This window comes from Homo sapiens, chromosome 3 (assembly GCF_000001405.40).
Source record: "Homo sapiens chromosome 3, GRCh38.p14 Primary Assembly".
Classification (NCBI taxonomy): domain Eukaryota; kingdom Metazoa; phylum Chordata; class Mammalia; order Primates; family Hominidae; genus Homo; species Homo sapiens.
The window spans coordinates 50058359-50083285 of NC_000003.12; the positions used below are offsets into that span (position 1 = coordinate 50058359).

The 24927-nt window shown below is 45.6% G+C and overlaps 1 protein-coding gene across 16 annotated transcripts in view, besides 1 other annotated feature; it reads left to right on the forward strand.

Annotated features, from left to right (window-relative positions):
• Positions 1-18891, forward strand: part of RBM6 (RNA binding motif protein 6) — a 137100-nt gene extending 118209 nt beyond the window's left edge. For 14 of the 16 annotated variants that reach the window (NR_146071.2, XM_047447131.1, NM_001349192.2 and 11 more), the window contains 12 exons: positions 44-204; positions 1291-1388; positions 2598-2640; positions 2782-2863; positions 3104-3189; positions 3604-3750; positions 6673-6768; positions 7884-8144; positions 10332-10406; positions 12097-12194; positions 16843-16972; positions 18650-18891. Coding sequence is in view for 15 of the 16 variants with exons in the window: in XM_047447131.1 (XP_047303087.1) it covers positions 44-204; positions 1291-1388; positions 2598-2640; positions 2782-2863; positions 3104-3189; positions 3604-3750; positions 6673-6768; positions 7884-8144; positions 10332-10406; positions 12097-12194; positions 16843-16972; positions 18650-18775 (1403 nt within the window). In the remaining variant the exon portion in view is untranslated. The other 2 variants (XM_047447132.1, XM_017005496.3) reach the window with 2 other exon arrangements.
• Positions 23867-24367: an enhancer, noted in NCBI's record as "H3K4me1 hESC enhancer chr3:50119658-50120158 (GRCh37/hg19 assembly coordinates)". NCBI's record gives its function as "activates a minimal SCP1, AML or CMV promoter by ChIP-STARR-seq in naive H9 embryonic stem cells {active_cell/tissue: H9 hESC(naive)}" and the evidence as "EXISTENCE:reporter gene assay evidence [ECO:0000049][PMID:30033119]".

The window sequence follows — 24927 nt, forward strand, 5'->3', positions numbered from 1 at the left end:
TCTCTCCCTTGTGTTGCCCTTCTCCCATTTATGGTTGATTCAGCTATCATGCTAAAGCGTATCTATCGTTCCACACCACCTGAGGTGATAGTGGAAGTGCTGGAGCCCTATGTCCGCCTTACTACTGCCAACGTCCGTATCATCAAGAACAGAACAGGCCCTATGGGGCATACCTATGGCTTTATTGACCTCGACTCCCATGCGGTGAGTTTCCTCCACCTTGGATTGGCCTAGAGACAGATGGCTAAAGAACCTTCAAGAAGGTTTGACTGGGGGCCGGGCCTGGTGGCTTACGCCTGTAATCCCAGCACTTTGGGAGGCCGAGGTGGGTGGATCACGAGGTCAGGAAATCAAGACCATCCTGGCTAACACGGTGAAACCCTGTCTCTACTAAAAAATACAGAAAAATTAGCTGGGCGTGGTGGCAGGCGCCTGTAGTCGCAGCTACTCGGGAGGCTGAGGCAGGAGAATGGCGTGAACTCCGGAGGCGGAGCTTGCAGTGAGCCGAGATCGCGCCACTGCACTTCAGCCTGGGTGACAGAGCGAGACTCTGTCTCAAAAAAAAAAAAAAAAAATTTGAGGGACTTCTTGATCATTTGAATTCTTGTGTGCTACCTGATATCATAATCCCTCTTGCTCTCTCCTTTGGGTTTATTGTTCATTCAGGTCAGGTGACAGCCCTCAAAAGTTAGGATCCCGTCTGGTTTTCTAGGTTCATTTTTTTCTTGTGTCATTTACTGTTTCCAACTTACTCGCTTGTGAAGAATCTGAGTACTGAATCCTTCATGATTTTAGTGAACTTTCTGATTTATTTTGTCCAGCCACAGATGGTTTTATATTTGATGATAAAACATTTCCTCTTTTTCCTCAAAGTATTTATAGATTCCTGTGGCTTAAATTTTTAGTTGCGGGGCCTTTTTCTATGGAAGTAAGGTGAAGATAATGAAAGTCATTGGTATTTCTTAGATTTTTCATGCTCAAAAGTCACAAGGGACTTTGTAAACTGAATCTGATTGATGATAATTGCAACCTAAAAGAAGAGGATTTGAATTTCTGAAGTTTATGCCAGAACTGACATCTATTCTGATTCCTGTTCCAATCAGTCCTTCATTAAAAGTTGCCTGTTTCTGCCAGTATGCTCTTACTGTTAAAATTTTGACAGAATATAATGTAGTAAATTTATCCTCTGAGAAGGAAAATCCACGTTCACTTCTCTTTCAAAGGAGAATTTTTCTGTCTTTGGGTTCTGGCATTTTCTGTCTCTGGGTTCAAGTGTGTCTGGTTCTATAGGAAGCTCTTCGTGTGGTGAAGATCTTACAGAACCTTGATCCGCCATTTAGCATTGATGGGAAGATGGTAGCTGTAAACCTGGCCACTGGAAAACGAAGGTAAGGCAGAAGGGTGAGGATCTCTTGTGCTGCCCCCACTTGTGTTTTTGAGAGGAAACTCCTTTTCCTGGCTGGAAAAACAGTAAAGCATGATGTTTTCCTAACATGGACTGCTTCAGATAGGTGTTTATTACAGTTTCTTTCTGAAGCCTGACTTGTCCTGACTCTCGAATTGTTTTCTTTCTTGAATAATACTAGGTACTTTTGTCCTTTCCCTTTTGACTGTCTGGTATCTTTGGGTCCCAAATGGCCTGGCGTGGTAGCACATATCTCTATTCCAAGCTACTAAAGAGGCTGAGGCGAGATGGGGAGCGGGTTACATGAGCCCAGGAGTTCTAGGCCATAGTGTGCAATGAAGATGCCTGTGAATAACCACTGTACTCTACCCTGGGCAACACAGCAAGACCCTATCTCTTAACAAAAAAATGATGGTACAGTTTTGGATGTGCAGACACATGTCAATACATTCTTGCCCCTTGCAATCCTAGGAAAATGCTGTCCTGGCTTTTCCTTCCCCTGACCTTGTGCATATTTCCATAGCACTGGGAAATCTAATTTCTCTTTCCTCCTTCACTCATCTTGACCCAGGAGTGGTAACTTGGAAATGGCCATGTCAGAGAAACAGGCTTACCAATATGGGGCATATCTTGCTCTAGCACCCTCCACTTAATGGCTGTTTTGCTCCACCACTTGGCTTTGTAAGAGTCTTACTGCTCATTGGGCAGGCGTGGTGGCTCACGCCTGTAATCTCAGCACCTGGGGAGGCCGAGGCGGGCAGATCATGAGGTCAGGAGATTGAGATCATCCTGGCTAACACGGTAAAACCCCGTCTCTACTAAAAATACAAAAAAAAAAAAATTAGCTGGGCGTGGTGGTGGGCACCTGTAGTCCCAGCTACTTGGGAGGCTGAGGCAGGAGAATGGTGTGAACCCAGGAGGCGGAGCTTGCAGTGAGCTGAGATCACGCCACCGCACTCCAGCCTGGGCGACAGAGCAAGACTCCGTCTCAAAAAAAAAAAAAAAAAAAAAAAGAGTCTTACTGCTCATTCTTTCAGGAGTGTCTGGACCACCCAACCTGCTTGCTGTCTAGGTTGGTTCCTTTCCCTGCAAAATGAGGAACAGAGGATTTCTCGATAGGAACTGTAGGATTAAGTACTCGTCAAATGCCACTTGGTAGCAGCCTTAAGAATTGTTGTGTTATCTGTTGCAGAAATGATTCTGGGGACCATTCTGACCACATGCATTACTATCAGGTAGGCTGTAACAGGTGGGGAGTGCTCTATTAAAATCCTCAGGTGACTATAAGGGTGATCTTGAATTTTCTTTAGTGGGTGACTGTTAAGGTGAATGACCATTGGATAGTTCTGTAATTTTAACTTGCCTTTCTGTGATAGGGTAAAAAATATTTCCGAGATAGGAGGGGAGGTGGCAGAAATTCAGACTGGTCTTCAGATACAAATCGACAAGGACAACAGTGTAAGTAACCTTTGTTTTATTTCTGTTGCTCTTTTTTGCTTGACTTGCTACTCATTACTTGACATCTGTGTGATCACAGTTGGCAAGATACACTGTTGACTGAGGGTGCTCATCCAGAGAGAGGCATCTGTAGATGCACCTATTTGTGTTGGTCACCCTAATTCTTGGGTTCTTGATGAGTCTCCAGTAAGGGCTTCATTGGACAGAGACTAACATTGGCTCTGATCTTGTTACCTTTAGCATCATCTGACTGCTACATATATGATTCTGCTACTGGCTACTATTATGACCCCTTGGCAGGAACTTATTATGACCCCAATACCCAGGTGAGTTTGGGGCTTTTTTTTTTTTTTTTTTTTTTTTACCTCTGTCAATGATTCTTTTGAGAAAAGCACCCATAATTTGCTACTTGAGGATTTTATTCCCTGGATTCTCTGGATGCTCATTGCATGAAAAGTGGAAAAGTTTAGATCTATGGAAACAGAACTGTTGCCTATATGGAAAATCAGTGCCTTGTGGCAATACAGGTAAGAACAGTGTTGCTCTTGAAAAAGTGGACAGTGGGTGGTCTGAATGTGTCCTGGTCCCTGGAGTGGGTTTTTAGATTGATGTGGACTCTTCTTAGACTTGTAAGTAAAAAAGTTGTTTCTTCCCCTAAAAGGGAACTGTGCGCCTTAGACCTGGAATTGCTGGGAAACTGAAACATTCTGTAGACTTACTTGTTTCCAACTGTATCGCAGCAAGAAGTCTATGTGCCCCAGGATCCTGGATTACCTGAGGAAGAAGAGATCAAGGAAAAAAAACCCACCAGTCAAGGAAAGTCAAGTAGCAAGAAGGAAATGTCTAAAAGAGATGGCAAGGAGAAAAAAGACAGAGGAGTGACGAGGGTAAGAGGAATTGTTAATTTGCTGTCTTTTGCCACATAGTTATTAAAATGTTGGAGGTACGAACAGAGGATATCTATGTTTGCAAGTGTAAAGTAACTTTAAAAATACTCTGTCAGCCGGGCGTGGTGGCTAACGCCTGTAATCCCAGCACTTTGGGAGGCCAAGGCGGGCGGATCATGAGGTCAGGAGATCGAGACCATCCTGGCCAACATGGTGAAACCCCTGTCTCTACTAAAAATACAAAAATTAGCTGCGTGTGGTGGTACACGCCTGTAGTCCCAGCTACTCAGGAGGCTGAGGCAGGAGAATTGCTTGAACCCTGGAGGCAGAGGTTGCAGTGAGCCGAGATCGCGCCACTACACTCCAGCCTGGCAACAGAGCAAGACTCTGTATCAAAAAAAAAAAAAAAACCTCTGTTAATGAGTATTTTTACCTGGTGTAGGCAATTCCCTCACCTCTTATATCCCAACTCTCTCTTTTACAAATGGGAAAACTATGGATGGTAGAACAAAGTGGCCCAGCTCAAATCCCAACACCTCAGCTCCATACATTTTCACTTTTCTACATTCCTTTTTTAGTGTTTGACTTTATACACATTTCTCTAGTTGTAATTATAGCAGGAGATACTGTTTAGTCACTTTTTATCCTAAGTATTTTTTCCATGTTTCTATATACTCTATTATTTTTAATGCCCACATGGTAAAAATTCACGGTATAACTGTACCTTCATTTTCTTCATCTCTCCTACATTATTTGTCTTCTCTTTCTAATCTTTTCTTTTTCCTTTTTTTTTTTTTTTTTCTGAGACAAAGTCTTCCTCTGTCTCCCAGGTTGGAGTGCAGTGGCATGATCATAGCTCACTTCTACGTCAAACCCATGGGCTTAAGCAGTCCTCCCACCTCAGCCTCCCAAGTAGCGGGGACTACAGGCATGAGCCACCATGACCAGCTAATTTTTGCTTTTTTGTAGAGACAGGATCTTGCTAGATTGACCAGGCTGATCTCGAACTTCTGGCCTCAAGTAAGCTTCCTGTCTCAGTCTCCCAAAGTGCTTCAGTTACAGGCAAGACCCACCTTGCTCGCCTCTTTCTAATCTTATACTGTCATAATATATAACATTTAGCATTTTGTTTCTTCTTTTAAATTACTCCCTATGACACATTTTCAGAATCAGAGATGATGAACATTTTTACATCTAATACAAAATCAAATTATTAGGCAGGGTGCAGTGGCTCACACCTGTAATCCCAGCACGTTGGGAGGCCAAGACAGGTGGATGCCTGAGTTTAGGAGTTTGACACCAGCAACATGGTGAAACTCCATCTCTACCAAAAATACAAAAAAAATTAGCCTACTGTGGTGATGCATGCCTGTAGTCCAAGCTACTTGGGAGACTGAGTTAAGAGGATCGCTTGAGCCCAGGAGATTGCAGTGAGCTGTGATTGCGCCACTGCACTCCAGCATGGACAACAGAGCCAGACTTGTCTCAAAAAAAAAAAAAAAAGAAAATCTGCCGGGCATGGTGGCTCATGCCTGTAATCCCAGCACTTTGAGAGGCCAAGGCAGGCGGATTACTTTAGGTCAGGAGTTTGAGACCGCCTAGCCAATATGGTGAAACCCCCATCTCTACTAAAAAGACAAAAATTAGCTGGACGTGGTGGCGCAAGCCTGTAGTCCCAGCTACTCAGGAGGCTGAGGCAGGAGAATCTCTTGAACCTGAGAGGCAGAGGTTGCAGTGAGCCAAGATCACACCTACCTTGATATCAGTTATGCATTAGTGAAAATGGATGAATTTGCTTGTGATTCAATTCATAACACCTTTTTTTCCCTTTTTTTTCTTTTGAGACGGAGCCGCTCTGTCGCCCAGGCTGGAGTGCAGTGGCGTGATCTATCTCGGCTCACTGCAACCTCCGCCTTCCAGGCTCAAGGGATTCTCCTGCCTCAGCCTCCTGAGTAGCTGGGATATCAGGCGCTGCCACAACGCCCAGCTAATTTTTGTATTTTTAGTAGAGACGCGGTTTCACCATGTTGGTCAAGCTGGTCTCGAACTCCTGACCTTGTGATCCGCCCACCTCAGCCTACCAAAGTGCTGGGATTACAGGCATGAGCCACTGCGCCCAGCCTTTTTTTCCCCTTCTAACACTGTTAGTTGTTTAGAGATACAGAAAAGAGGAGAGAGAGTGTGTGTGTGTGTTTAAAAACTTAGAGTCATACTGATTTAATATTTGGACTCTGCTTCAGCCACTTAATCTGTCAAACTATATTCCCAATCATTTGTAAAATTAAGATAGTAAAGCTTACATAGGAGGATCATAGTAAAGTCTGAAGAAGACAATGTTTATATATACATGCCTCATCTGGTCTGACATACAGTAATCATGCAATATATACTAACGTTTTATTTTATTTTATTTTATTTTTTGAGACAGAGTCTCTCTCTGTCACCCAGGCTGGAATGGAGTGGCACGATCTCGGCTCACTGCAACCTCTGCCTCCCAGGTTCCAGCAGTTCTTCTACCTCAGCCTCCCAAGTAGCTGGGATTACAGGCCAAAACCACCACACCCAGCTAATTTTTGTATTTTTACTAGAGACGGGGTTTCACCATGTTGGCCAGGCTGGAGCACAGTGGCACAATCTTGGCTCACTGCAAGCTCCGCCTCTCGGGTTCATTCTCCTGCCTCAGCCTCCCTACTAACTGGGACTACAGGTGCCCGCCACCACGCCCAGCTAATTTTTTGTATTTTTAGTAGAGATGGAGTTTCACTGCATTAGCCAGGGTGGTCTCGATCTCCTGACGTTGTGATCCACCTGCCTTGACCTCCCAGAGTGCTGGGATTATAGGCGTGAGCCACCGCACCCAGCCCAGCCTTTATCAGTTATTATGAGTGAATATCATGTGAGAGTTACCTCTGGTTTGATCAGTTTCAGGAAAATGCCAGTGAAGGGAAGGCCCCTGCAGAAGACGTCTTTAAGAAGCCCCTGCCTCCTACTGTGAAGAAGGAAGAGAGTCCCCCTCCAGTAAGACCAACATTGATCCCCTGGACCTAGGGCTGGGGCTGGGGATGGTTCCGAGTAGAAGAGGAAGCGCAAAGGCTGATGCCTTCCTCTGGTGTTGGTCTTTTACCTCACTATGTCTCCCGAATAAGGATTCCCATTTCTTTTGAGTACAAGCATGAGATAAAGTTTTCTGTCTGCTAATGGGGGTATTACTGGAGAACCAGAGGCAGTTATCTGGACTCTTTCTCTCTGCCCTGTGCCATTCTTACCAGACGAGATGCCTAGCCCTTTTTATCATCTTGTTCTTGTCAGTTCTCTAAATCACCAAGGAAACCCGTTTTCTCAGCCTCAATCTTTCCTGCCTTTTGGCATCACACAAGAATCTCTTAGATATGGAGTGCATGCGTGGTCATTTTTTTATAGTTTCTGCCTGTTCAGAGTGAATGATGCTAATATTGGTGCCCATTTTTTAGATGCCTTCAAGCAGTAGTCTCAACCTAATCACCAGTGATTCTGATTGAATGCAGGTATATAACAATAGTGACCATGCATTATTTATTTATTTTGAGTGATCATAGACCAATGATTATGCATCATTATTTAACAGTTCTTATAAGGTACCCTTTTCCTGCTCCGCATTATTAATTCAGCTCATTGTGGCATCTGTCTTAACCATGCTTTGCCTTTACCTTACATGTGAGCTGGATCTGTCTACCCAAGTGCCTATTAATGCAGTTGCTTTTAGTTTACTTCCTAAATCCTCTTTGCTAGAGTCTTAATGAAAGTCATCTTTTCTTCCCTCCATGAGTTACAGTAATTTGGAGGTATTTATCTCTTCCTCTTTGTAATTTGTAACCTTTTACTATTTTCTATGTTTATTTTCCTTTCTCTTCCTTCTCCTCACATTCTGTTGCTAGAGTCACTTCTAAAGGAATCTTTCTTGTTTATTCTTAATGAACAAGGAGCAAAGCCAAGCTCTGGCCATGTTGCTTTCATCTGGGAAATGAGCAGCATGGCTAGTGAGTTTATTTTGAACCCAATTCAATGAAATGAGATGCCCATATCAGAATATCAAAAAAAATGGACCCCAAAATATAGGTTGAATTTGGTATTGATCCCTGGCCTTCTCCTTCCAGCCTAAAGTGGTAAACCCACTGATCGGCCTCTTGGGTGAATATGGAGGAGACAGTGACTATGAGGAGGAAGAAGAGGAGGAACAGACCCCTCCCCCACAGCCCCGCACAGCACAGCCCCAGAAGCGAGAGGAGCAAACCAAGAAGGAGAATGAAGAAGACAAACTCACTGACTGGAATAAACTGGCTTGTCTGCTTTGCAGAAGGCAGTTTCCCAATAAAGAAGTTCTGATCAAACACCAGCAGCTGTCAGACCTGCACAAGGTATTAGGGGAAGGAGCTATGCCCTTTCAAACTGTTGACTCTTGGCCGGGCTTTGTGGCTCATGCCTGTAATCCTAGCACTTTGGGAGGCCGAGGCGGGTGGATTGCCTGGGCTCAGAAGTACAAGACCAGTCTGGGCAACATGGTGAAACCCCCTTTGTACTAAAATACAAAAAATTAGCCAGGTGTGGTGTTGTGTGCCTGTAGTCCCAGCCACTCGGGAGGCTGAGGCAGGAGAATTGCTAGAACCTGGGAGGCAGAGGTTGCAGTGAGCCGAGATCGTGCCACTGCACTCCAGCCTGGGTAACAGAGCAAGACTCCATCTCTTAAAAAACAAAACAAAACAAAACTGTTGACTCATATTATTGATGGGGATTATGGGGAATAAAAAAGATTATTTAGGCCGGGCCTAGTGGTTTACACCTGTAATCCCAGCACTTTGGGAGGCCAAGGCACCTAGGTAGATCACTTGAGATCAGGAGTTTGAGACCAGCTTGGCCAACATGGTGAAACTGTCTCTACTAAAAATACAAAAATTACCTGGATGTGGTGGCGCATGCCTGTAATCCCAACTACTTGGGAGGTTGAGGCAGGAGAATCGCTTGAACCTGGGAGGCAAAGGTTGCAGTGAACCGAGATCACACCACTGCACTCCAGCCTGGGTGACAGACCAAGACTCTATCTCAAAAAAAAAAAAAAAAAAAAAAAAAAGCCGCAGCAGCTTATACAATCCTTCCTCAGTGTATATCAGCCCCAGTTCCTATCATTAAAACAGTCCAATTCAAGAATGAATTGCTCTGGATTAAGGTTATGCCTACCCTCAAAGAACTTCCATGTATAGGCCGAAGCCAAGCATTATGACTGTGGCTAGGGTGCCAAATATGGAGGATGGGTAGGAAGAGAAAGGGTTGTGGAATAGGACATTACTTGCTGGGTTTCTCATCTTAGCTGTGTCATTAACGTTACAGTTGGACCTCAGATAAGCCCCTTTTCTTCTTTGGTCCTTGTAACTTCATCTGATTCTATCCAGCTCTGACAGTGTGCAGTTTTCACCATAGGTGAGTCAAATTCTGCCATTTCTTCATGTAGTGAATATTGTTATGAGCCACAGCACAACATCTATACTTGGGATGTTAAACCGACATACATTGGTCTTCCCCTGTAGTATTCCCATTTATATGAACTGACCAAGGATCCAAATTATGGACAAATAAAGTCCCTAAATGGACTCACATTCTCAGAGCAATTTGTTTCACACCCCTTCTCTAGTAGATGTTGCAAGAGCAGGTGATGGAACTAGATTCAGACTTTCTCTGAATACAGAGCTCAAAGTTTTATTTAGCTAAAAGCTGAGAAGTTCTGCTTTTGGTAATAGGTACACTACTTTTCCCAGCCATCTCTGTGGAGGCTTTGCAAAGATAGGACTCTGAAAAGCTCCTGATAATCCCTGGAACAGACTACCTCCCATGTCCTTTGACCTGAAGTTGTGAGTTGTCAGACTGACACATTGAAATTTCACCCATCTGATGTAAATACTAATAAATGGCTAAAGAGATAAAAAGTAATCGTCAGGAAAGAGGAGCCACAGGTCTGGTGAATTCACAAACTGAACTGGTCATAGGACAGTGGAAAGTAGACTGTAGTACTTTTCCTTTCCTTAAGGTCGTCTGCTACAAAGAACCACCACTTCATGTAAGAGCTGCTTTGGACTCCTTAAGTTTCATACATATGTCTGAGGGCTTGTGTAGTAGAGCCATGCGTGAGGAATTTGCAACTCTCAGAGCAGTCTCTTGGAACCCTGGGGCTCCTTTCCATGTTTCTCTGGGGGCTGAAAGAGTGACTCATGTCTGGGAATGGTATGTATGGCAGAGTATGTGGGCATTTGGTTTTCTTCACTGGTGTGCCCACATCCTCTGTCCCATGATTTTCAACTTAGATAAAGAGATAGATATTTGTTTCCCACATCTTGGAGATAAGTAAAATGATATTCCTCTTATGCCATACCACATAACTAATCTGCATGACAAGACCAGTTAGGGATTGTTGGTTGCAGGATACAGTGATCATTTAGTAGATCTGATCAATCAAAAGAGCTACAATCCAAAAGCAACTATTGGGAAAGGCCTAGAAGCATCTCTAGGACCATTGTTTCTTAGACCTATACTCATAGAATTGCCTCTCTTCTCAGCAAAACCTGGAAATCCACCGGAAGATAAAACAGTCTGAGCAGGAGCTAGCCTATCTGGAAAGGAGAGAACGAGAGGTAAACTTTGGTGACCTATTACTCCCTTGACCTCAGCTCTTTTTGCTTTCTGATATAGACTTCATAGGCTGTGCTGATCCCTCCTTATAAGAAGATGGAGAACAAAAGCAGCCTCAAAAGATAGTGCATACATTTGCCAAATTATATAATACAATCAAAATAGGTGCTTTTTATTATTTGTAAGTTTATACTTCAATGAAGTTGATATCTTTTTTAAAAGGTGGTGTTAGGGTCTCTAGGTAGATAACACTCCTCTTTCCTGCTTAGCTTTTAAATTAGTTGAGTTAATGAACAAGTGTTGAATAGCGCTGCTGAAATAGCATCTTTTACTATTAAAGGCTAAGCTGGAGGAAGTAGCTTAGTGTCAGAGTCAAATGGACTTGCTACCTCAACCACACAGTTAGGGTGAATTACCCAGTCATAGGCTTCACTGGCCTCTCTCATGATGGTTAAGAACCCACCTATGGGTCAGGCACGGTGGCTCACGCCTATAATCCCAGTACTTTGGGAGGCTGAGACGGGCGGATCACTTGAGCTCACAAGTTTGAAACCAGCCTGGGCGACATGGCGAAATCCTATCTCTACAAAAAATATAAAAATTAGGTGGACATGGGGTGTGTGCCTGTAGTCCCAGCTACTTGAGAGGCTGAGGGAGGATCGCATGAGCTGGGAGGCAGAGGTTGCAGTGAGCTGAGTTTGTGCCACTGCGCTCCAGCCTGGGTCATAGAGCCAGACCTTGTCTCAAAAAAAAAAAAAAAAAAGGAAGCCACCTGTGGAGAGCCAGGCACAGTGGCACATGCATGTAATCCCAGCAGTTTAGGAGGCTGAGGTGGGAGAATTGCTTGAGCCCAAGAGTTCCAGGCTGCAGTGAGCTATGATCACAGCCCTGTACTCCAGCCTGGGTCACAGAGTAAGTCCCTGTCTCAAAACCAAACAAAAGAATCCACCTATGGAGGACTGTTAGAGATAGTGAATTCACAAACTGAACTGGCCATAGGACAGTGGAAAGTAGATTGTAGTATTTTTCCTTTCCTTAGAGTTGTCTACTACAAAGAACCACCTCTCCATGTAAGAGCTGCTTTGGACTCCTTAAGTTTTATATTATATGCCCGAGGGCTTGTATAGTGGAGGGCTTGTGTACTTTCCCCTGCTTCTCAGAAGGGGAAAAGACAGCGGAACCAAGCGTGCCAACTTATTCTTTCCAAATGTTTAAGTTAGGAAGTCACTGCTTTCTCTAGAAGAACGTGTAAAGGAGTGAGAGATTCCAGGAGTTACCAAGTGAGCTACTTTCACTTTAAAAGAAATAACAAGGCCGGGTGCGGTGGCTCACACCTGTAATCCCAGCACTTTGGGAGGCCGAGGCTGGTGGATCATGAGGTCAGGAGTTCGAGACTAGCCTGACTAACATAGTGAAACCCCGTCTCTACTAAAAATAGAAAAATTAGCTGGGCATTGTGGCACTCACCTGTAGTCCCAGCTACTTGGGAGGCTGAGGCAGGAGAATCGCTTGAACCTGGGAGGCGGAGGTTGCAGTGAGCTGAGATCACGCCAGTGTACTCCAGCCTGGGCAACAGAGTGAGACTCTGTCTCAAGAAAAAAATAATAATAATAACAGCAATGGGGTAGAATTTCCCCACTCCCCAATTCCCTCAGGTGGCAATCTCAGGTCTGCTCTTCTGCTTACCAACAGGGAAAGTTTAAAGGAAGAGGAAATGATCGCAGGGAAAAGCTCCAGTCTTTTGACTCTCCAGAAAGGAAACGGATTAAGTACTCCAGGGAAACTGACAGGTAAGCCAGGAACTCTTCATTCAGCCTAGGCCTCAAGCCTAATGATAAAACCACCTCCTCCTTCAACTGTACTGCTGTTTTCTGTCTCAGGGAGATGATATTATGAGTAGATTCTGTCTGAACTGCTAAAACATGAGGTCTATGCCAGCCTTTTTACTATCTGTCTTTATACGGGGAGTGTACATGGAAGGTTGGCTGGCAGCTTCGCCTTCCCAAAGCCAGGGCTGGAGTAGCCATGATCGGGAACCCTTTCTGTCTTCATCAGTAATACTGCACCCTCTTTACGGGCCTGATAAGAATGTCACACTCTTGGGCTTTTTCTCTAGGGAACCTCCATTCTCACACATAGGTGCTAAATAAATGGTTGGCTGCTGATGGAGATGTATGATATCTAGCTTCCTATACTTGTTTTCAGTCAGCTAGTTCCCAAGTTGTAAGCCCAGAGTTATATAGAATTTGTTGATAACCCACTGTTTACAGGTGTCAAGTGCAAGAAATACTCAGGTGGACAAGACATAGATTATCCTTGACTGAACACAGAATAGACAAGACTTAGGTGATGGTGCGTCTCATAGGGCAGACACAGAAATCAGTGGGGAAGGGAAGGGCATTTCAGGGAATTTCATATACCAGGGATATAAGAGCTTATGATGTGTTTGAGGAGTTGCAAATAGTTTGATGGTCCTGAACACTGCAGGTATATTGTTGAGTGACAGTAGATAAGCCTGGTCCAAAAGATGCAGGCCAGTTCATGAAGTTTAAACACCTTGAACACCTTGCTAAGGCTTTATCTTAAAGGCAGTGGACGGTCATGGAATAATTTTAAGCAGGGTATTGACTTAGCTTTGCATTTTGGAGAGATTACTAATCATGTGGAAGATGAGTTTGTAGAGAGACTAATGCATTATGCAAATTCTATAGTAATTCAAGTGAAAGATCATGATTGCCTGAGTGAAGGTGATGAGTCTAGAAAGGAGAGTGGCCTATAATCCCAACACAGAGAGGCTGAGGAAGGAGGATCTCTTGAGCCTAGGAGTTCCAGGCCAGCCTAGGCAACATAGGGAGAAGGGAGACCCTGCCTCTATTTAAAAAAAGAAAAGAAAAGGAGTGTGGCTTAGAGAGAGGTGTCAGATCTGCCAGTCTTTGTGATCACCTGGGGAAAGGGAGAAGTCACTGATGGTGTTCAGGTCTCTGGTCTCTGGATAGCTAGGAGGAGAAGGGACAGTAAAGTCCTTGAAAAGGAAAAATGGGGGCCAGGCGTGGTGGCTTACGCCTGTAATCCCAGCACTTTGGGAGGCCGAGGCGGGTGGATCACAAGGTCAGGAGTTCGAGACCAGCCTGGCCAAGATGGTGAAACCCCTTCTCTACTAAAAATATAACAATTAGCTGGGCGCTGTGGCAGGCGCCTGTAATCCCAGCTACTCAGGAGGCTGGGGCAGAAGAATCGCTCAAACCTGGGAGGCAGAGGTTGCAGTGAGCTGAGATCATGCCACTGCACTCTAGCCTGGGTGACAGAGCAAGACTCTGTCTCAAAAAAAAAAAAAAAAAAAAAAGAAAAGGAAAGGAAAAATGGGGCCAGGTGTGGTGGCTCACACCTGTAATCCCAGCACTTTGGGAGGCTGAGGCAGGTGGATCACTTAAGGTCAGGAGTTCGAGACCAGCCTGGCCAACATGGTGAAACCCTGTCTCTACCAAAAATATAAAAAAATTAGCCAGGCGTGGTGGTGGGTACCTGTAATCCCAGCTACTCGGGAGACTGGGGCAGGAGAATCGCTTGAACATGGGAGGTGGAGGTTGCAGTGAGCCAAGATTGCACCACTGTACTCTAGCCTGGGTAATAGAGCGAGACTCCAAATCAAAAAAAAAAAAGAAAAGAAAAGAAAAGGAAAAGTGGGTAACAAGTGGATGCATGAGCAGAAGGAAAGGGAGATAATTGACAGAGCAAGGCCCTTGAGGAGGCTGGACAGGTTTTGGGGCTCTGGCATTCCAGCTTATTTGATCCAACCCACAATAAGAGAAGTATTTTTGTATCATGGCCCAATAATAAAGTGTGTGTGTGCACAACTGAAAAAGTTTTCATCTAAAATACTTTCTTACCAGGTACAGTGAACCCTGATATTTTTATTCAAGTCTAGTCTCTCTTCATTTTTATGAGTTGTTACAGTGGGACCATTTAGTGTGACATTCCATTGGGTCATTCTCTGCAATTTGAAATACAGTGGATTAGGACTAGGTGAAGGAGTCAGCCATCAGGAGGAAGGACACCTTGGCCTTGAGTCTTCTGGGACAAGGCTTAGGTGGGGTGCGGAAAGAGACCCTTCTTTATTCTCAGCACCCTTTATACCACATTCTCCTGGCTCTTCTCCTTTCCAGTCACCTTTTCTGCTCCTCTTCCTTTTCTGGATAAATCCAGGTGTTCTCTAGGACTCTTCTCTCAGTGCTTCTTTGGTCTTGCTGCTCTACCCTCTTGACCTGGGCTTTCTAAGGTACCCATGGCCTCAACCACCACCACAGTCTAACAAGTCCAAATCTCCTGTATTATTATTTCAGAGTAGCAGCATCATAGCATCACTGTCTACATGGTCTGATCCATCCTCCTCCTTTATCCCCTGTGTCCAATTAGTGACCAAATCCCTAATTAAGTCTTGCCCCCTGTCTTAGTCTGTTTTATGATACCATAACTGAATACCACAGACTGGGTAATTTATAATGAACAGAAATTTATTTGGCTCATGCTTCTGGAGGCTGGGAGGTCCAAGATTGAGGAGCTGCATCTGGTGAGGGCCTTCTTGCTGTGTCACCTCATGGTGGAAAGTAAAAGAACAAGAGAGCTTAGGCAAAAGAGGGGGTTGGGAGAAAGAAACCAGACTAATCATTTTATCAGGAGAACCCACTCCTGCAATAACAGCATTAATCCATTTGTGAGGGCAGAGCTCTCATGACCTAATCACTTCCTGAAGTTTCACCTCTCAATACTGTTGCATTGGGGATTATGTTTCCAACATATGTACTTTGAGGGACACATTTAAACCACAGCATCTCCCATTCTATTCCACCTCCACACTGGACTCCTACTCCCAGTCTTTGCTCCCACTGTTCTTCAGTCCATTCTCTACCCTGCCACCAAAATGACTTTTGTAAAGAGAAATCTACTCTTATAACTTGTCTTTTTACAAACCGTATACCTTGCCTACAGGGAGGCCTGAGCTCCAACTTTTGCCAGAAGGATGAGGTTCAGAGACATGATTTAGCTTAATAAGTTCAAGGTTTTTTACAGTCTGACCCCATGCAGCCTTTTTTTTTTTTCCTTTTGTTTTGAGACAGTCTCATTCTGTCGCCCAGGCTGGAGTGCAATGGCACGATCTTGGCTCACTGCAACCTCCGCCTCCCAGGTTCAAGCGATTCTCCTGCCTCAGCCTCCCCAGTAGCTGGGACTATGGGCTAATGTTTGTATTTTTAGTAGAGAGGGGTTTCACCTGTTGGTCAGGGTGGTCTCGAACTCCTGACCTCAGGTGATCCACCCGCCTTGGCCTCCCAAAGTGCTGGGATTACAGGCGTGAGTCACTGCACCCGGCCACCAAGCAGCCTTACCTTTGTCAGTTTCTACTACTACTCTCTTGGACAAATTGTCTTTTGTGTCTCCTTGCTTGTGTCCTCCTTTTCTCTTACACAAACTCCTTATTTCGAGATCCAATTCAGATGTATCTTCCTGTTGAAATTCCTGTCATTTTTGGTGATGCCCCTTCAGAGTTTTCGTTCCTTCTACTGCATTTCTTTTTTTTTTTTGAAACAGAGTTTCACTCTTGTTGCCCAGGCTGGAGTGCAATGGCGCGATATCAGCTAACCACAACCTCCACCTCCTGGGTTCAAGCGATTCTCCTGCCTCAGCCTCCCGAGTAGCTAGGATTACAGGCATGCGCCACCACACCCGGCTAATTTTGTATTTTTAGTAGAGACAGGGTTTCTCCATGTTGGTCAGGCTGGTCACGAACTCCCAACCTCAGGTGATCTGCCCACCTCAGCCTCCCAAAGTGATTCCTTCTACTGTATTTCTATAGCAGACATCTACTGTTGCTACATCCATGGTTGAGCTCTCTTCAATGTTCTATAAGCATCTCTTGACATAATGTTTGAGACCTTTCTTGTGAACAGGGCCATATCTTAGTAGTCTGTGTACCCAGCAACAAAACATAGCTATCAGGCACTCAGAGGTACTGTTAAATATACTTACTTAATAAGAGGCAGATATGAATCAAGAGGACAGAGATTTTATATTAGGCTTATAAGCAGGTCTTCATCAAAATGATGGTGTCAGGTTGGGCATGGTGGCTCATGCCTGTAATCCAGCACTTTGGGAGGCCAAGGCATGCGGATTACCTGAGGTCAGGAGTTTGAGAGCAGCCTGGCCAACACAGTGAAACTCTGTCTCTACTGAAAAAAAAAAAAATTAAAAATTAGCCAGGTGTGGTGGCGGGCACCTGCAATCCCAGCTAATCGGGAGGCTGAGGCAGGAGAATCGCCTGAACCCAGGAGGCAGAGGTTGCAGTAAGCTGAGTTCGAGCCATTGCACTCCAGCCTGGGCAAAAAGAGTGAAACTCCGTCTCAAAAAAAAAAAAAAAGGAAGTGATGGTGTCTGCTTCTTTTGCAGTGATCGTAAACTTGTTGATAAAGAAGATATCGACACTAGCAGCAAAGGAGGCTGTGTCCAACAGGCTACTGGCTGGAGGAAAGGGACAGGCCTGGGATATGGCCATCCTGGATTGGCTTCATCAGAGGAGGTAAAATGGTTTCCATCTTTTGGGGGGTGACATGAACCTGGAATGTAATTAACTTTCACTTTCTGGCCTAGAGTGATGTCTTTGCCATTTTGCTGGGCTTTCTCTACTGCTGGGATAGGACATGAGAGTTGAACACTTTAGCCTTGAATACTGGGTTATAGCTTGGCAGGCTGGGCCCTTTGCAGTTTGGAGTTAGGAAGAGAAGGAAGGAGTTGGAATGGATTTCATCATACTTTTACATGGAGTAAATAGTAGAGCAGTATCTGAGGCAGTTTGAGACTGAAGAATCATTTGGGCAAAAGAACCAGGGAATCAGCAATGAAAGGTACAGAGGCATCTCTGAGAGGGACTGTCAGCGGAAGTCTTTGGTGGCTAAAATTTAAGGAGCATGTTGTTCTGGTTCCCATGAAGGACTTTGCCCCTCATATTTCAAGAGCCTCTAGAAAAGGTGATAAGAGGAAACATTACCCATTTTGTGTTGGCTTGCTTCTCCTCTGAAAATGCCAACCATAAGAGATTGGCTTATTTCTCTCCTACCGAGTTTCTCATATCTCTGGTATTAAAGCCTGTATCTTGCAATCATAGCATCACCACCCACCTTAATTCATCTTGGGTATTTGTTTAATAATGAAAGATTCTTTTCTTTTTTTTTTTTTGAGACAGAGTCTTGCTCTGTCGCCCAGGCTGGAATGCAGTGGTGCGATCTCAGCTCACTGCAACCTCCTCCTCCCAGGTTCAAGCAATTCTCCCACCCCAACCTCCTGAGTAGCTGGGATTACAGGTGCATACCACCATACCCAGCTAATTTTTGTGTTTTTAGTAGAGACAGAGTTTTGCCATGTTGGCCAGGCTGGTCTCGAACTCCTGGCCTCAAGTGATCCGCCCACCTCAGCCTCCCAAAGTGTTGGGATTACAGGCGTGAGCCACTGTGCCCGGCCAAAAGATTCTTTAAAAAAATTATCCTGCCAGGGTCCGGGCGCAGTGGCTTATGCTTGTAATCCCAGCACTTTGGGAGGCCGAGGTGGGTGGATCACAAGGTCAGGAGTTCGAGACCAGCCTGACCAATATGATGAAACCCCTGTCTCTACTAAAAATACAAAAATTAGCTGGGTGCAGTGGCGCGCGCCTGTAATCACAGCTACTCAGGAGGCTGAGGCAGAAGAATCGCTTGTACCGGGGAGGCAGAGGTTGCAGTGAGCCAAGATCTTGATCGTGCCACTGCACTCCAGCCTGGGTGACAGAGCGAGACTCTGTCTCAAAAAAAAAATTATTCTGCCAGGTGTGGTGGCTCACATCTGTAATCCCAACACTTTGGGAGGCCAAGGTGGGCGGATCACTTGAGGCCAGGAGTTCGAGACCAGCCTGGCCAACATGGCGAAACCCTGTCTCTACTAAAAATACAAAAATTAGCCGGGCGTGGTGGCAGGCGCCTGTAGTCCCAGCTACTCAGAGGCTGAGGCACAAGAATTGCTTGAACCGGGGAGGCAGACTTGCAGTGAGCCCAGATCGCACCACTGCACTCTAGCCCGGGCGACAGAGCATGACTCCATCTAAAAAAAAAAAAAAAATTATCCTATATACTGCTTCTTACTAGTCCAGAAATGCCTGTGGTCAAAGACCAGCGCTGAGGCTAATTAATCTATAGGGCCCACTTCATAGTTTGTCTTTGTTTTACAGGCTGAAGGCCGGATGAGGGGCCCCAGTGTTGGAGCCTCAGGAAGAACCAGCAAAAGACAGTCCAACGAGACTTACCGAGATGCTGTTCGAAGAGTCATGTTTGCTCGATATAAAGAACTCGATTAAGAAAGGAGACAAGTTCCATGGGATACAACCTCCCTCTTGTTTTGTTTGTCTCTCCTTTTCTTTTGTTACTGTTCTTGCTGCTAGAACTTTTTTAAATAAACTTTTTTTCAATGTGATTATCTTTTTGTTATTTTTTTTTCCCAGAGATGGGTGGGAGTGGGGCTACTGGTAGGAGAGAGAGAGTGCTCCCTGTCTCTACTAAAAATATAAAAATTAGCCGGGCATGGTGGTGGGCGCCTGTAATCCCAGCTACTGGGGAGGCTTAGGCAGGAGAATCACTTCCAGGAGGTGGAGATTGCAGTGAGCTGAGATTGCGCCACTGTACTTCAAGCCTGGGCAACAAGAGCAAGACTCCATCTCAAAATAAAATAAAATAAAATAAAATAAAATAAAAGGGCTATATAAGGCCAGGTACGGTAGGTGGCTCACTCCTGTAATCCCAGCACTTTGGGAGGCCAAGGAAGGCAGATCACTTGAGGTCAGGAGTTCGAGACCAGCCTGGCCAACATGGTGAAACCCTGTCTCTACTAAAAATACAAAAATTAGCTGGGCATGGTGGTGCATTCCCAACTACTCAGGAAGCCAAGGCAGGAGAATTGCTTAAGCCTGGGAGGAGGTTGCAGCGAGCCGAGATTATGTCACTGCACTCCATCCTGGGTGACAGAGCAAGAAAAAAGAGGACTATATAACCTATAAGCATGTTTTTGTTTTGTTTTAAATTTTGCTCTATTTCTTTGGCTATGAGAGCCTATTATAACTTTTAAAAATCCTGGCCTGGCATGGTGGCTTACACCTAAAATCCCAGCACTTTCAGAGGCTGAGGTGAGAGGATCATTTGAGCCCAGGAGGTTGAGGCTGCAGTGAGTGCAGTGATCACACCACTGCACTCTAACCTGGGCAATGGAGTGAGACCCTGTCTCAGAAAAATAAAATTCCTCAGGGTTACATATCACAGTACTAAAAATTTCACTTTGCACATGTCTCAAGGGAAGAATGTTTCTTAGGAAGAGAACTGAGACCACCATTTGGATAGCATAAGGCAGGTCAGATCATCTTTATCAGAACTATTTAGCTGTAGTGTCGTGGTGAGAAAGCAGCAATAGGTAATCTGTAAACAAGTGGTTGTGGCTATGTTCTAATAAAACTTTATTCACAAAGACAGAATTGGCCTGTGAGTTTTAGTTTGCCAACCCCTTGCCTAAGGGAATGGTTTGTATACAGAAGGCTGGACCAAGGAGGGCTGAAATATACTCTGTTAAAGGTGGGTGTGGCAGAGGGTTTGGGAGAGATGGGGAGTGAGGAGTGGGAGAGGTTAGGGAGAATATGCTAAGAAGAAAACATGAACAGGAATAGTAAATCTGAATTTATTTGCCATGCTGTGTCCAGATCTAATTTTTCTCTTTAATAAGTCTTTATTCCTCCAAAAGGGAAAACAAACAAAATCAGGAGCACATTAGCTTAGAAACTGAGAGCCCCATGTTCTGGGCCTTGCTACTACTAGTGCTGCATTACTACATAAGATGGGCCATTTGAATCTATCAGCACTAGACAAGTGCACTTTAAAAACCCTTCTGATCTAACGATGGTCTGCAGATTCATCTGTGAAGTAACTCATTACTTCCTGTCTGAGTAGGTCAAAATTCTTTTTGGAAGCTGGTCTAGTTTTGTCCTGAACTGGCCAGACCAGGTTTTCCTTCTAACCCTATGTCACCTGACTAGACCTGTCATGAGCTATGGAACACATTAAATGCTTCACTAATGAAGTTGTTAACTCAACATAGGCAGCATCCAATTATTAAGTGTTGGTATATGTTTTGAAAGCTTAGTCTACTTGTCACTGGGGATTATAGCAAGACTGATGTTGGCCTCTGCCCATATAACTCAGTCCACTGGGAAAAATGGACATTGAGCAATTACTGACAGAATGAGACCCTCAAGGGAGAAATACGGTATGCTATGGAGACAGCATGACATAGACTTGTTTTTTGGTTTTTTTGAGACAGAGTCTTGCTCTGTCGCCAGGCTGGAGTGCGGTGGCACAATCTTGGCTCACTGCAACCTCTGCCTTCCAGGTTCAAGCGATTCTTCTGCCTCAGCCTCCCGAGTAGCTGGGACTACAGGTGCATGCCACCACACCTGCTAATTTTTGTATTTTCAGTAGAGACAGGGTTTCACCATGTTGTCCAAGATGGTCTCGATCACTTGACCCTGTGATCCGCCCACCTTGGCCTCCCAAAGTGCTGGGATTACAGGCATGAGCCACCATGCCTGGCCTTTTTTTTTCTTTTTTTGAGATGCACTTTTCACTCTTGTTGCCCAGGCCGGAGTGCAATGGCCTGATCTTGGCTCACTGCAACCTCCACCTCCCATGTTCAAGCAATTGTCTTGCCTCAGCCTCCCTAGTAGCTGGGATTACAGGTGCCCACCACCATGTGTGACTAATTTTTGTATTTTTAGTAGAGATGGGGTTTCACCATGTTGACCAGGCTGGTCTCGAACTTCTGAGCTCAGGGTGATCCGCCCACCTTGGCATCCTAAAGTGCTGAGATTACATCTTCCCTGAAGTAAGTGTTTAAGCTCAGATGTAGTTTGGCCCATGGCCTAGGTTGGTTTGTTCTTCCTAGTTTAACTTTTCCTTTGTAGTGGAGATTTTGCTTTTGGAAATAAGGTCTGAAATTTTTTTTTTTTTTTTTTAACTTTAACTTCTGGGATACATGGGCAGAACGTGGAGGTTCGTTACGTAGGTATACATGTACATGTGCGTGGTGGTTTGCTGCAACTATCAACCAATTATCTGGGGTTTTTTTCTTTGTTTGTTTGTTTGAGACGGAGTCTTGCTCTGTTGCCAGGCTGGAGTGCAATGGCGGGATCTCGGCTCACTGCAACCTCCACTTCCCGGGTTCAAGTGATTCCCCTGCCTCAGCCTCTGAAGTAGCTGGGACTAGAGGCACACACCACCACGCTCCGCTCATTTTTTGTATTTTAGTAGAGACGGGGTTTCACCATGTTGGCCAGGATGGTCTCGATCTCCTGAGCTCATGATCCACCTGCCTCGGCCTCCCAAAGTGCTGGGATTACAGGCGTGAGCCACCACGCCTGGCATCAACTAGGTTTTAAGCCCCGCATGCATTAGATATTTGTCCTAATCCTCTCCCTCCCCTTGTCCCTGTGTGTGTTCCCCTCCCTGTGTCCATGTGTTCTCATTGTTCAACTCCCACTTATGAGTGAGAACATGCAAGGTCTGAAATTTTTTTTCCTTTTTCTTTCTTTTTGAGATGGAGTCTCTCTCTGTTGCCCAGGCTGGAGTGCATGGCGCGATCTCAGCTCACTGCATCCTCTGCCTCCCAGGTTCAAGAGATTCTCCTGCCTCAGCCTCCCGAGTAGCTGGAATTGCAGGCGTCTGTCAGCATGCCCAGCTAACTTTTGTATTTTTGGTAGAGGGGGGGTTTCACCATGTTGGTCAGGCTGGTCTCAAACTCCTGACCTCAGGTGATCCACCTGCCTTGGCCTCCCATTGTGCTGGGATTTACAGGCGTGAGCCACTGTGCCCGGCCAACGTCTGAATTTATTATATTATTTTATTTATTTATTTATTTTTCCCAGGCTTGAGTGCAGTGGCACGATCTCAGCTCACTGCAAGCTCCGCCTCCCGAGTTCATGCCATTCTCCTGCCTCAGCCTCCCAAGTAGCTGGGACTACAGGCGCCCGCCACCATGCCTGGATAATTTTTTGTATTTTTACTAGAGATGGGGTTTCACCATGTTAGCCAGGATGGTCTCGATCTCCTGACCTCGTGATCCACCTACCTCTGCCTCCTAAAGTGCTGGGATTACAGGCGTGAGCCACCGCACCCGGCCATGAAATTTTTAATACACTTTGTTTTTTGTGTTTTTTTTTTTTTTGAGACAGACTCCCTCTGTGTTATCCAGGCTGGAGTGCAGTGGCAAGATCACGACTGACTGCAACCTCCACCTCCTGGGTTCAAGCAATTTTCCTGCCTCAGCCTCCTGAGTAGCTCCGACTACAGGCACATGCCACTACGCCGCGCTAAGTTTTGTATTTTTTTAGTAGAGACTGGGTTTCACCATGTTGGCCAGGCTGGTCTTGAACTCCTGACCTCAAATGATCTGCCTGCCTGGGCCTCCTAAAGTGCTGACATTACAGGCCTGAGCCACCATGCCTAGCCTTAATATACTTTTAAAAGCAGTACCAGCTGGGCTTGGTGGCTCACACCTGTAACCCCAGCACTTTGGGAGGCCCAAGCGGTGGATCACGGGAGGTCGGGAGTTCGAGACCAGCCTGATCAACATGGAGAAACCCCATCTCCACTAAAAATACAAAATTTGCCAGGCATGGTGGCGCATGTCTGTAATCCCAGCTACTCGGGAAGCTGAGGCAGGAGAATCGCTTGAACACAGGAGGTGGAGGTCGCCTTGAGCCGAGATTGCACCATTGCACTCCAGCCTGGGCAACGAGCAAAACTCCATCTCAAAAAAAAAAAAAAAGCACCTGATAGCTTTTTTTTTTTTCTTTTTGAAACGGAGTCTTGCTCTGTCGCTCAGGCTGGAGTGCAGTGGCACGATCTCTGCTCACTGCAAGCTCCGCCTCCTGGGTTCACTCCATTCTCCTGCCTCAGCCTCCCCAGTAGCTGGGACTACAGGCACCTGCCACCATGCCCGGCTAATTTTTTTTTTTTATTTTTTAGTAGAGGTGGGGTTTCACTGTGTTGGCCAGGATGGTCTCAATCTCCTGACCTCGTGATCCACCCACCTCGGCCTCCCAAAGTGCTGGGATTACAGGCGTGAGCCACCGTGCCCAGCCTTTTTTTTTTTTTGAGACAGTCTCGCTCTGCTTGCTCTGTCACCCAGGCTGGAGTGCAGTGGGGCCATCTCGGCTCACTGCAACCTCTGCCTCCCAGGTTCAAGCAATTCTTGTGGCTCAGCCTCCTGAGTAGCTGGGACTACAGTCACGCACCACCATGCCTGGCTAATTTTTGTATTTTTAGTAGAGACGGGGTTTCACCATGTTAGCCAGGCTGGTTTCGAACTCCTGATCTCAAGTGATCTGCCCACCTCGGCCTCCCAAAGTGCTGGGATTACAGGCATGAGCCACCACGCCCAGGCCTGAGAGCAATAATTTAAGCCTACTCTTAGAATAACCCTGTATGGCAGATGCACCTGAATGTGTGTTCCCAACTAGGGAATCTGGGAGTGACCAACTAGAGCTTAGTTCCTTACCTATAATAAACATCTTAGCCCCTAGTCTGTCACATGGAACACGGGACATACAGGAGATTGAGGCCCTGAGTTTTGGGGCAAATGAAGTTTGCTAGGTGGAGGTCATTATGGAGAGAGTATTATTAAGTGAATATGCTATATACGCTGCATGATGTTTGCAGGCGGTTGCGGTTTTCCTGCCCAGCCCACTGGCACTGGGCCATGCGGATATGTTTTCCTGTTATCCAGCCGTCACCAGTGGACCATTTCTTTCTTTTTTTTTTTTTTTTTTGAGACAGAGTCTCACTCTGTCGCCCAGGCTGAAGTGCAGTGGCGCGATCTTGGCTCGCTGCAACCTCCTTCCCTCGGGTTCAAGCGATTCTCCTGCCTCAGCCTCACGAGTAGCTGGGATTATAGGCACCTGCCACGGCACCCAGCTAACTTTTGTATTTTTAATAGAGACGGGGTTTCACCATCTTGGCCAGGCTAGTCTTGAACTCCTGACGTCGTGATCCACCTGCCTCGGCCTCCCAAAGTGCTGGGATTACGGGTGTGAGCCACCACGTCTGGCCACCACTGGACCATTTCTGTACGTAAGGTGGTTCTCCTTTCCAGCCCACTGCCACTGGGCTCTTTTCTCTGTATGTAAGCCCCTAATATAAGGTTGGAGATAAAGTATTCACGGTTTTTGTCATTTAAAGTAATAAAACCTCACATTTCATTTGCTGGCTCTAGGTCTCTTCTTCAGCCTCTTGAACCTGGTTCCTTCCCTTGTTGACGTTAATAGGGTTTCAGCACAACACTTGGGTACTGATTAAAGTAAGAATGGGGGTGAAAACTGTCACCCTGTGATGTCCCTGGGAAGTTCCCTGAGGCTTTTGATGCCGGAGCAGAGATCTTCAGTAATTTTCTTCACTACTTTATCCCTAGGGCCTG